The sequence below is a fragment of the Homo sapiens genome, chromosome 9, assembly GCF_000001405.40.
Source record: "Homo sapiens chromosome 9, GRCh38.p14 Primary Assembly".
NCBI classification, from domain to species: domain Eukaryota; kingdom Metazoa; phylum Chordata; class Mammalia; order Primates; family Hominidae; genus Homo; species Homo sapiens.
The window spans coordinates 124,845,751-124,857,879 of NC_000009.12; the positions used below are offsets into that span (position 1 = coordinate 124,845,751).

Sequence of the window (12,129 nt, forward strand, 5' to 3'; positions counted from 1 at the left end):
GAGTCACTGCACCCGCCTTGCCTCGCTTCAGTCCTTCGTTTCACATAATCAGTGTGCTCCATTAGGGATTAGCTCTTCCAGGGCTGTGGTTGGTCACTTTTCACGCACCTTAGTAGCGTGCTCTATTTTGTCTCAGGTTCATTTTCCACGTTCATTTGCTCTTTAGATGACAAAATGTCTACATCAGTTGAATCAGGATCTAGAAGTCCCTGATTTCAGATGCAGCTTCCACACTGATCAACTAGCTTTGTGATTCTCATTTAGTCACAGTCTCCTGTTTTCTTTTCTCTTTTTTTTTTTTTTTTTTGAGATAGAGTCTTGCTCTGTGGCCCAGGCTGGAGTGCAAATAGCACGATCTCGGCTCACTGCAACCTCTGCTTCCCAGGTTCAAGCGATTCTCTTGCCTCAGCCTCTTGAGTAGCTGGGGATGCAGGCACATGCCACCACGCCTGGCTAATTTTTTTTTTTTTTGAGACAGAGTCTCTCTCTGTCGCCCAGACTAGAGTGCAGTGGCGCGATCTCAGCTCACTGCAACCTCTGCCCCCCGGGTTTAAGCAATTCTCTGCCTCAGCCTCCTGAGTAGCTGGAATTACAGGCGTATGCCACCACACCCAGCTCATTTTTTGTATTTTTAGTAGAGATGGAGTTTCACCATCTTGGCCAGGCTGGTCTTGAACTCCTGACCTCATGATCCACCTGCCTCGGCCTCCCAAAGTGCTGGGATTACAGGCGTGAGCCACCATGCCTGGCCAATTTTTGTATTTTTAATAGAGATGGGGTTTCACCATGTTGGCCAGGATGGTCTCGGTCTCCTGACCTCATGATCCACCCACCTAGGCCTCCCGAAGTGCCGGGATTACAGGCATGAGCCACCGCGCCCAGCCCTCCTGTTTTCTTTAGAGTTCCACGTGACTGGGGAGGCCTCACAATCATGACAGAGGGCAAAAGACATGTCTCACATGGCGGCAGACAAGAGAAGAGAATGAGACAGTTTTTTTGATACATAAGTTGTTCATATTTATGAAGTACATGTGATATTTTGAGACATATATACAATGAGTAATGATCAGATTACGATAATTAGGAAATTCATCACCTCAAACATTGATCAGTTATTTGTGTTGGGAACATTCCAGATCTTCTCTTCTAGCTATTTTGTAACGTACAATAACTTGTTAACTATAGTTGCCCTTGGCCAGGTGTGGTGGCTCATGCCTGTAATCTCAGCAATTTGGGAGGCTGAGATGGGAGGATTTCTGGCAACATCGTGAGACTCCAGCTCTACAACTTTAAGCTCTACAGCTCTACAGCTAATTTTTTTTTTTAATTAGCTGGGTGTGGTGGCATGTGTCTGTAGCCCCAGCTACTCAAGAAGTCTGGGCGGGAGGATCACTTGAACCCGGGAGGTCAAGGCTTTAGTGAGCAGTGATTGCGCCACTTCACTCCAGCCTGGGCAACAAAGCGAGATCCTGTCACAAAACAAAACAAAAAAGCATAGTTACCTTACTGTGCTATCTGACACTAGAACTTACTCCTTCTATCTATTTTTTTTTTTTTTTGAGACCGGGTCTCACTCTGTCACCCAGGCTGGGGTGCAGTAGCATGATCTTGGCTCACTGCAACCTCCACCTCCTGGGTTCAAGTGATTCTCGTGCCTGAGCCTCCCTGCTAGCTGGGATTACAGGTGCCTGCCACCACGCCTGGCTAATTTTTGTAGTTTTAGTAGAGATGGGGTTTCAGCATGTTGGCCAGGCTGGTCTCAAACTCCTGACCTCAGGTGATCCATCCACTTTGGCCTCCCAAAGTGCTGGGATTACAGGTGTGAGCCACCACACCCGGCCTATCTAAGTGTATTTTTGTACCCATTATCCAACCTCTCTTCATCCTCCCCTCTCCCCTACTTCCCCACATCCTCACCAGCATCTTTTATTTTCTTTTGTGGGGTTTTTTGTTTGTTTTTTGTTTGTTTGTTTGTTTGAGACCGGGTCTCACTCTGGTCACCCAAGCTGGAGTGCAGTGGCATGATCACAGCTCACTGCAGCCTGGCCCTCCTGGGCTCAGGTGATCCTCGCACTCAGGCTCCCGAGTAGCTGGGATCACATGTGCACACCATCACATCCGGCCAATTTTTTGTATTTTTAGTAGAGACTGGTTTTCACCATGCTGCCCAGGCTGGTCTTGAACTCTTGGGCTCAAGCAATCCACCTGCCTCAGCCTCCTAAAGTGCTGGGATAGCAGGGGTGAGCCACCTTGCCTGGCCCTATTTTCTGTCTTTTTGATAAAAACCATTTTAACTGGGGTGAGATGATATCTCATTGTGGTTTTGATTTGCATTTTCCCAGTGATTAGTGACATTAAGCGTTTTTTTTGTTTGTTTTTCGTTTTTGGGTTTTTTTTTTTTTCTGAGACGGAGTCTCGCTTTCTCGCCAGGCTGGAGTGCAGTGGTGTGATCTCAGCTCACTGCAACCTCTGACTTCTGGGTTCAAGCGATTCTCCTGCCTCAGCTTCCCAAGTAGCTGGGACTATAGATGCATGCCACTATGCCTGGCTATATATTTTTTTGCATTTTTTAGTATAAATTTTTGCAGTTTTAGTAGAAATGGAGTTTCACCATGTTGGCCAGGCTGGTCTCGAACTCCTGACCTCAAGTGATCTGCCTGCCTCAGCCTCCCAAAGTGCTGGGATTACAGCTGTGAGCCACCGTGCCTGGCCAGGGAGCCTTTCTTGGTATCTTTGGGGCTACAGTAAAAAATGGTGGACTCATGAGATGATAACGCTTTCATGATAGCCCAGCTAACCATGCACAGGTGCCGTTCCAAGCACTTTACATACATTAATCCTCAAAGCCAACCTCATGCAGCAGGTACTAATTATTATCCTGATTTTAGAGGTGAGGAAAAGGAGGCACGGAAGCATTAAGTAACTGGCCCGAGGTCACAGGTGGTAGGTGACGGAGTCAGATCAGGGTGCAGCTGCCTGGCTTCTGAGGCTACACAGGTGACAGCTGGTTTTAAGCTGAACTAGAGCTTCCTGATTGATTCACAGACCAGGGTGGAGGTGGGGGAAGAATCCCAGGTCTTAATCTGGACAGCCCTCCCCTCACCGAGAAGTGGGTACCTGACCCCAGCTGGGTCAATCACGAGCTCTCTGAGGATCCTGATTTGCTGGGCTGCTCCCGGGATGAGTGAGTAGCACTGCTTCCTGCCCTTCCCTGGTGTGACAGTGTTGCTGTCTTTCCAATCCGTCATCCCAGAGCTTCTTGGTCCCTTTTGGCCATCCATGGTTTCTGTTGTTTGCAACCAGAGAACCCTGCTTGAGGTAGAATCTACATTACCACCAGGGTGCGGTGGCTCACGCCTGTAATCCCAGCACTTTGGGAGGCTGAGGTGGGTGGATCACCTGATGTCTGGAGTTTGAGACCAGCCTGGCCAACATGGTGAAACCCCATCTCTACTAAAAGTACAAAAATTAGCCAGGTGTGGTGGTGGGTGCCTGTAATCCCAGCTACTTGGGAGGCTGAGGCAGGAGAATCTCTTGAACCCAGGGGGCGGAGGTTGCAGTGAGCCGAGATTGCACCATTGCACTCCAACTTGGGCAACAAGAGCAAAACTCTGTCTCAAAAAAAAAAAAAAAAAAGAATCTAAATTACTTTCCTCCCCACCCGGACCTTTCCTAAGGGACTGTACCCTCCCTGACCCCATGGTTAGCCCATGACTCTGATGGATGGAGGCAAAAAAGATAATCACTGGAGGTCTCTAGTGATAGACCAAAGGGCTCTGTTTTTTGTTTGTTTGTTTGCTTTTGAGATGGAATTTCGCTCTCATCATCCAGGCTGGAGTGCAGTGGCGCCATCTCAGCTCACTGCAACCTCTGCCTCCCAGGTTCAAGCAATTCTCCTGCCTCAGCCTCCCGAGTAGCTGGGATGACAGGCACATGCCACCATGCCCGGCTAAGTTTTGTATTTTTAGTACAGACAGGGTTTCACCATGTTGGCCAGGCTGGTCTCGAACTCCTGACCTCAGGTGATGTACCCGCCTCGGCCTCCCAAAGTTCTGGGATTACAGGCGTGAGCCACCACGCTCGGCCGTGGCTCTGTTCTTACCCCTGTCATGTTGATCATTTCCCCAATCTGGACCAGAACACAGGCCCGCTCATAAAATTTGCAGCTGCCACAGCAGCAGAATTAATGCTTTGTGCAATAGAAGTGGGACTTTTAAAATGCTTTCAAGACTAGACGGCTGGATGGGGGCCAAGAAGATGACCTTTAACCAGCATAATGTAAGGTCTTGCGTGCGTTTCCGAAGAACTCATTGTGTGAGTACCAGACAGGGGAGGGAGGGCTGGCTGGACAGCAGTTCATGGGAAAAAGCTCTCGTGCATTTGCAGTGAATAACATAGCTCTTGGAAACATAAATGCCTCTAGTAATGCAGACTGCATTACTAGAGATGGAGTGTCTAGGAAACTGGAGATGACAGTACCTTTCAGCTTGGTGGTTGTCAGTCCAAACAGTGAGCATGGTTCTAGTTCTGGTCCACACACTTTTTAAGAGGGATAATGACAGGCCAGGTGCGGTGGCTCACGCCTGTAATCCCAGCACTTTGGGAGGCCAAGGCAGGCGGATCACGTGTCCGGCTAAATTTTGTATTTTTAGTAGACAGGGTTTCACCATGTTGGCCAGGCTGGTCTCGAACTCCTGACCTCGTGATCTGCCTGCCTCGGCCTCCCAAAGTGCTGGGATTACAGGGGTGAGCCACTGCATCTGGCTGGGAACAGGTATGTTTTAAAACCTGGAGGGCAGGCACGGCGCGGTGGCTCATGCCTATAATCCCAGCACTTTGGGAGGCCGAGGTGGGTGGATCACGAGGTCAGGAGTTTGAGACCAGCCTGGCCAACATGGTGAAACCCCATCTCTACTAAAAATACAAAAATTAGCTGGGCATGGTGGCAGGTGCCTGTAATCCCAGCTACTCGGGAGGCTGAGGCAGGAGAATTGCCTAAACCCAGGAAGCAGAGGTTGCAGTGAGCCCAGATCGCGCCACTGCACTCCAGCCAGCCCGGGAGACAGAGACTCCATCTTAGAAAAAAAAAAAACCTAGAGGGCAGGAGGAGCAGCTCAGGTATTGGAGCTGGGAGCTGGAACCTCGAAGAAACCAGGGCAATTAGGCTCTCCAACTCCCTCTCCTACTTCCTCTCTTGCCACAAAACAACATTCTCTGCTTCTTGGGGCACCGGTCAGGAAATGCTGGCTCCCCACTAAACTGTTCCAGACTTGGGGTAGGACTGCAGGTAGGGTATAAGAAATGGGGCAGGGCAAGGAAGCCAGGAAGAGTAAGGACAGGCAGGCAGGGGCCAGACAGGCGGGGCCGATTCTTTAAGAACAATTCAACAGATACCTGGGGCCCCTGCCCAGCTTAGAGCTGGAATGTGGCTCCTCAAAACCCCAAGGGTCCTGCCTTTTCTAGTCCCTCCCTTCCTCTCCTGAGAGTTGACCACTCTGGAGATTTGGGGGTTTTGCTTGCTTTTCTTATCCAAATAAATAGAGGGTTCTTTTTTGCCTGCCTTGATTGTTTTCTTTCTTTCTTTCTTTTTTTTTGCTGAACAGATGTTTGTGAGGTTTGTTGTCGTTGTTGTTTTGTTTTTAGTAGAGATGGGGTTTCACCATCTTGCCCAAGCTGGTCTTGAACTCCTGGCCTCAAATGATCTGCCTGCTTTGGTCTCCCAAAGAGCTAGGATTGCTGGCATGAAACACCATGCCTGGCCCTGTGGGGTGTTTTAAGGTTGACATGCGTAGCTGAGGAGAGGCAAGGCTGGTCCAGGACCTCCAGTCCCCTTCAGGGAATGGAGTGACAGTGAGAAAAGCCAGCGCGGCATCCATCCTGGACATCTTGGTAGAGCCCTCTCCCTGGACAGCCTGGCCAAATACAGGAGAGAAGGCGGCAGGCTCCCTGAGGAGAAGGAAGAGATAGTCAGTGGTGGAAAACTGGCAGAAACTTCTCCACCACTTCATCCGCGGAGATGATCCTCCGGACCCTGGCATTCACGTTGGTGGTTCCACCTACAGATGCCTGAGCCAAGCCCACGGGTTTCGACCCCAGCTCCACCCCTTCGGCCAAGCAGTCACTGGGCCTGGTGGACAAGGTCTACCCTGAGGGTTCTGGGAGTGAAGGGCTGGGCTGGGGAAGGTGGCTCTGGGCCCTCTGGATAGAGCAGGAGCAACCAAGTGGCTAGACAATGTGCCCAGGGCCGGGGCATGGGTTGGGGGGGTGCCTGAGCAGGAGAGCCAGAGGGCCAGGGAATAGTAGCTCTGGGGAGCTGTGTCTGGGAGCCACATCTGGGTGTGGGGGGACAGCTTTATAGGCCCAGCTCAGAAGGGTCCCACAGTGACCTAGGCCCTCTGGGATCTGGGATGGAGTGGGACTGCCTCAAAGCTGTCATTGTCGCTCCCTCACCCGCCTGACTGTCTGGGACTTAAAATAGCAGGAGCACAGCGGATCTCCTGAGAAGTTTCTGGCAAAGAGGTTTAGGGGGGGAGGGTGTGAGTCGCCGCTGGGAACTCTTGAGTTTGAAGCTCCCAAAGCCCAGCTGCTCCACCCCTGCCCCCAGGGAGCCTAGAATCCATGGGCGGGGCAGGTGGGGGGTCCTCTGTTCCCTCCCTGTCCTGCTGTGGGAGTGGGGAGACTGGGTCCTGCCCCAGCTCTGCCATGGAAGCACCGGCTAGATGGCTGGGCCAAGTCCTGCCCCCTTCGGACCTCAGTTTCCCAGATGTACCAGGAGTTGCGGACCTCAACATCTGCTGAGAGGTCCCTGGAGTTCATGGCAGGTGGTCCCAGTACAGACACCCAGAGTCAGACAGCCATGGGCTGAAATCCCAGTTCCACTCCTACTGGCTGAGTGGCTCTGAGCAAGTCCTCCCAGCTCTCCGGGTGAGTTTCTTCACCTGTAAATTAACAATGAAACCAAGTCCTGCTCGTTCCAAGCTTCAGATTGCGCTATCCGGTAAGGATCCTGGCAGCTCCTGGGCAACTGCCCCCCAGCCCCAGCCTCCACCCCATCCTCAGATGGCACATTTTGTGCTGCCAGGAATGTTAACAGCAACGTGACCCCACTTTTAATGCCATGTACTTTACACACACTACCTCTGGCTTCCACGCCCTGGAGGACAGAGCTGGCTACTGTCCCCAGCGCTCTCCTGGGACATCCTTAACCTCAGTACTGGCCACTCCTGGACGGAAGGGGTATTGGCTCCTGAGGGGGCCCTCTTGGGCATCTACCGTGTGCCAGGCCCTGTGCTTGGCTCACCCCTGGAGTCCTGTGGGGCAGGGCTGATGCTCCCGGTTGTGCAGATGGGGAGACAGGCTCGTTGCTCCCCTGTATCAAAGAGGTGCAGGGACCCCTTGCAGTTCGCAGTCCGCAGGGCGCGGGGCCGGGCTCTGGGCCGCGCGGTGCGTGTGGCTGGCGCGCCCTCTAGTGGCCGCTCTGCCTGCCGTGTTGCCCCGCGCGAGAGCTGCCCTAGAGTGGACGCGCAGCCGCTGGCGCGGGAAGTCCCTTCTCCCAGCCCGCCGCGGTCCCGCCTGCTGCGGCTCCACCTCCGCCGAACTGCAAGCGGTCTGGCCTGCCTGTCAGTCCTCGTGGCTTCGCAGGGACCCCACCATGGCCGCACGCCCCGCCCCGATTACCATGGAGACCGCCTGTACACAGTTTCCTCTTTCCTCTGCCCAGTCCTGGGGTCCCGCGGCCGCCTAGGAGGGAGCCCGCCGGGGCGGGGCGGGGCCGGGTGCCCATGAACAGCGGGGTCCCGGCCACGCTGGCCGTGCGGAGAGTGAAATTCTTCGGCCAGCACGGCGGGGAGGTGAGGTCCAGCGGGCTCTGCCCAGACTCCCGGCTTTGGATGCAGAGTGGTTCCTGGTTCTGTGTAGTGGGGGTTCCAGAATGTTCTCTGGGCAGTGGCTCAGGACATTGAGTCCAGAGTAGACTTTGCTAACCCAAGAAGGATCGAAGTAGGTTCTCAGCTCCAGTGCCGGGCCCCAGCTCCAGAGCAGCTCTAGGTTCTAAGCTCTGCCTGTAAAAAGAGCCCCGGGCTCTGGGCTCTGCCTCGAGAGGGGCACAAAGCTCCCTGCTGACTCTGGTGTTTTCTGGGGCCCTGGCTCTAAAGTGAACTCAGAACTTAGAGTAGATTCTGGACTCTCCGTTGTCAGCTGCGGCTCTGGAATGGGCTCTTAGCTCTGGGGTTCCAGGCTCTGGTTCCAGAGAAGGCTCTTGCCTCCAACTGCAGGCTCTGGCTTTACGGGACTCGAGAGAGGGCCCAGTGGGTCCCGGGTTCTGGGCTCTGGTGGTGGAGTGAGGCTTGAAGTCAAGCTCCAACCCCAGGCTCTTGGGGGGCAGTGTTTAGGGGTCAGAGATGAGCGGACAGGGGTTTCTTCCCCAGAATGGGACCGCTTTTGTGCTGTTTCTAGGTCAACTCTTCTGCCTTCTCCCCTGATGGCCAGATGCTGCTCACAGGCTCAGAAGATGGCTGCGTGTATGGCTGGGAGACCCGGAGTGGGCAGCTGCTGTGGAGGCTGGGTGGCCACACAGGTGGGGCTCCCACACCTGGCCGGGAAGACCGAGGCACAAGGGTCTGGCATGCTGCAGAGCTGACTGCAGTGACCTCCGATGAGCTGGGCACGGGTGCAAGGCAGGGCTGGGCAGGTTGGGAGATGGGACGAGATATCTGGGTGCTGGGGCTTAGACTCTAACAGGCCTGGACTCAGCCTTCTTTAAAAACACACACACACACACACATACATACAAAAACAACTGTAATGTAACACAGTAATACTTACTGTTGCATCCTTTTTTGTGTGTGACAGAGTCGCTCTCTGTCACCCAGGCTGGACAACCTCGGCTCACTGCAACCCCCGCCTCCTGGGTTCAAGCAATTCTCTGCCTCAGCCTCTCGAGTAGCTGGAATTATAGACACCTGCTACCACACCCAGCTAATTTTTTTGTATCTTTAGTAGAGACGGGGTTTCACCATCTTGGCCAGGCTGGTCTTGAACTCCTGACCTCGTGATCCACCCACCTCGGCCTCCCAAAGTGCTGGGATTAAAGGCGTGAGCCACTGCACCGGCTTTGTTGTGTCCATTTTTAAGTGTACAGTTCAGAGAATCCAGTACCTTCACATTGTCGTGACACCAATCTCCAGAGCTCTTCCTCTTGCAGAACTGAACCTCTGTCCCCACTAAACAAGTCCCCAATCTCCCTCCTCCCAGCCCCTGACAACCACTGTTTTTCTTTTTGTCTCGATGAATCTGACCTCTCTGGGTGCCTCTAAGTGGAGTCACACAGTATTTGTCTTTTTGTGACTGGCTTATTTCACTTAGCATGATGTACTTAAGGTTCAGCCATGTCGTGCTTACCACTGTTTTGACTGTGATCTTGGTCAAGTCCTGTCACCTCGCTGAGCCATTTCCACTGGCACGATGCAAGCAAAGTACCTAGCACACAGTAAGGACTCAATAGATATAACTATTGTAATTATTATTCAGGAGACAAGAAAAAATATCAGGCAATTACAGGCAGTCTGGTTAATGCTGCAAGGAGGGAAAATCAGGGGCTGGAGCTCAAAGGAGGCAGTGAACCTAGGCAGCGGTTGTTAGGGCAAGTTTCTGGGAGGTCCCTACTTTGACTTGGGGATTGATTTTTCAGATGAGCACTGAGGTTGGGTGCTCCAAGGCTGACAGCCCAGCCCAGGCCAAGGCATGGAAATCCAGGCATTTCTGGGAAGCTGGAGTTTGGGTGAGGGGAGGCTGGCGACGAGGCTGGAGAAATTAGCAAGGATTGGACTGCGTGGGCAGAAGTGGCGGGCAGTGCTCTGTCCCCTGACTGTGGCCACCCGCCCAGGCCCCGTGAAGTTCTGCCGCTTCTCCCCTGATGGCCACCTCTTCGCCAGCGCCTCCTGTGACTGCACTGTCCGCCTGTGGGATGTGGCAAGAGCGAAGTGTCTGCGGGTCCTGAAGGGTGAGTGAGCTGGGAGCCAAGCAGCCAGGCCAGCGTTCCCTTTCAGATGGTGCTGTGTCCTGTGTCACGTCACCTTTCCACCTTCCCCGACCCCGGGCTGGTGCCTGCAGGTCACCAACGGAGTGTGGAGACGGTCAGCTTCAGCCCTGACTCGAGACAGCTGGCATCAGGTGGCTGGGACAAGCGGGTGATGCTCTGGGATGTGCAGGTACGTTGAGGGGCTGGGGCCACCAGTCTGGGATTCAAGGACCAGTTCCAGAGAGGATGTCACCAGTCTTGCCCTCCCAGCTCAAACCCTCCACTGGTTCCCATGGCCCATGCCCACAGCAGGCAACCAAGGCTGCCCCCACCTGGCCACAGCCGCCTCTCCAGGCTTCCTTGCACACAGCAGCCCTCAGGCTTTTTGCACGAGGTCCCCCTTTCCTGGACTGTCAAGGCCAGGTAGCCGGCTGCCCTCTGCTGCCTTCTGCAGCTCAGGGCTCTCTCTAGTCCGGCCAGATGCTGCGCCTCTTAGTTGGGCACCGTGACTCCATCCAGAGCAGCGACTTCTCACCCACGGTGAACTGCCTGGTGAGCCTACCCTCTGCCCTGGGCCCCACCTCAGTGGCCCCATACCCACTTGGAGCTGAGTGGTGGGAAGGGGATGGACTCTGGGTCCCGCCTAGATGCAGAGTGGGTGGAGAGCTGGCTGGGCCAGACTCACAGAAGCTGCCTGCAGGCCACCGGCTCCTGGGACTCCACCGTACACATCTGGGACCTGCGGATGGTGACCCCAGCAGTCTCCCACCAGGCGCTAGAGGGACACAGTGCCAACATCAGCTGCCTGTGCTATTCAGCATCCGGCCTCCTGGTAAGTGGGGTGTCCTGGGTTCCAGGCTGGTCCCTTGCTGGCAGCCAGGCCCTTAAGGGTCCCAGGCCACTTAGGGGCCCAGTGAGCTCACAGGCCCCAAACCCTGGGGATCAGAGCTGTCTGCTGTCCAGGCATCCGGCTCCTGGGACAAGACCATCCACATCTGGAAGCCCACAACCAGCAGCCTGCTTATCCAACTGAAGGGCCATGTCACCTGGGTGAAGAGCATAGCCTTCTCTCCCGACGAGCTGTGGCTGGCCAGCGCCGGCTATTCCCGCATGGTAACCACCCCGGGCCCATCCTGCTCCTACCTACCCATCCTCACCCCACCAGGAGCCCTCAGCACTCACTCCAGAAATGCCCACATCCCCACTTGCCCTAGCTAGGAGGGGGCAAGGGCAGGACCTGGGTGCCAGCCTCTCTTCCTAATGGCCAGCACCAAGGTTAGGGCTGGCCCATTGGTAGTTGCATTGACATTTCCATGACCCAAATGGCATCAGGCAAAAGGGAACTCCTGCTCTGAAATTTCAAATACAGCCTCCAAACAAAACCTACACCAAGAGGTTCAGATGTTTTTTGGGCCGGGGGCGGTGGCTCACACCTGTAATCCCAGCACTTTGGGAGGTGGAGGTAGGTGAATCACCTGAGGTCAGGAGTTCAGGCGAAGACTCATCTCATATTTTGTCTGGGACTTTCCTGGAGGTGGCTTCAGATGCCACAGTGGCCTGGTGAGGCTTCCTGACATGCCCCCCTCCTTTTCCAGGTCAAAGTCTGGGACTGCAACACAGGAAAGTGCCTTGAGACCCTGAAGGTAAGGCACGGCGCTGTGGCACTGAGGAAGCTGTGGACAGCTTCTCCCAAGGCAGGACTTGCCTCGAGCCCCACCTTCTACTCTTAGCAGGGAGTCCTGGATGTGGCCCACACCTGTGCCTTCACCCCAGATGGGAAAATCTTAGTGTCTGGAGCTGCCGATCAGACTAGACGTCAAATATCCCGCACGTCCAAATCACCCAGGGACCCTCAAACCTAACACCAACCACCTTAGATGGTGCCGACCTCACCCGCTCCCCTCAGTGGCGCACAGGCATGCCGCTTCTCCCCACAGACGCAAAGTGACTGTGCTGGCATCCAGCAGATCCCCATGGCCAGGACTCTCCAGGCCCCACCAGAGCAGACAACTGTGGTGGGCAGGACGCTTGCTGGAACCCATCAGACACCTGGTCCCCAAAACCAGACCCACCCACCTCCACCCAATCAGTGGAAGTGCCAGGAAACAAAG

General features: G+C 54.4%; 1 protein-coding gene across 5 annotated transcripts, besides 2 other annotated features; it reads left to right on the forward strand.

Moving 5' to 3' along the window:
• On the forward strand, positions 7,710-12,128 carry WDR38 (WD repeat domain 38). Of its 5 annotated transcripts, none has more exons than NM_001276374.2 (9): positions 7,710-7,850; positions 8,455-8,575; positions 9,884-10,000; positions 10,111-10,208; positions 10,490-10,570; positions 10,719-10,850; positions 10,982-11,131; positions 11,614-11,661; positions 11,749-12,128. In NM_001276374.2, exons 1-9 carry the CDS (start codon positions 7,782-7,784, stop codon positions 11,878-11,880), a joined length of 948 nt encoding a protein of 315 aa, NP_001263303.1. In that variant the 5' UTR covers positions 7,710-7,781; the 3' UTR covers positions 11,881-12,128. The 5 variants fall into 5 exon arrangements, with proteins under 5 accessions (NP_001263303.1, NP_001038941.1, NP_001263304.1 ...); NM_001045476.3 differs by having other exon boundaries at positions 11,752-12,128; NM_001276375.2 differs by having other exon boundaries at positions 8,488-8,575.
• Positions 7,762-7,811: a silencer, noted in NCBI's record as "silent region_20268". NCBI's record gives its function as "represses an Ori minimal core promoter by ATAC-STARR-seq in GM12878 lymphoblastoid cells {active_cell/tissue: GM12878}" and the evidence as "EXISTENCE:reporter gene assay evidence [ECO:0000049][PMID:35858748]".
• Positions 10,015-10,183: a silencer, noted in NCBI's record as "fragment chr9:127618044-127618212 (GRCh37/hg19 assembly coordinates)". NCBI's record gives its function as "represses an EF-1alpha promoter that drives an FKBP-Casp9 reporter gene in an ReSE screen in phorbol 12-myristate 13-acetate-treated (for megakaryocytic differentiation) K562 erythroleukemia cells {active_cell/tissue: K562(+PMA)}" and the evidence as "EXISTENCE:reporter gene assay evidence [ECO:0000049][PMID:32094911]".
• Position 12,129: the final 1 nt, after the last annotated feature.

Bases quoted from the DNA above. Each gene is read 5' to 3' on its own strand.
- WDR38 (NM_001276374.2), top strand. From the start codon at position 7,782: ATGAACAGCGGGGTCCCGGCCACGCTGGCCGTGCGGAGAGTGAAATTC. The intron at 8,576-9,883 runs GTGGGGCTCCCA...CCACCCGCCCAG, and splicing joins GAGGCTGGGTGGCCACACAG to GCCCCGTGAAGTTCTGCCGC. The intron at 10,571-10,718 runs GTGAGCCTACCC...AGCTGCCTGCAG, and splicing joins CACCCACGGTGAACTGCCTG to GCCACCGGCTCCTGGGACTC.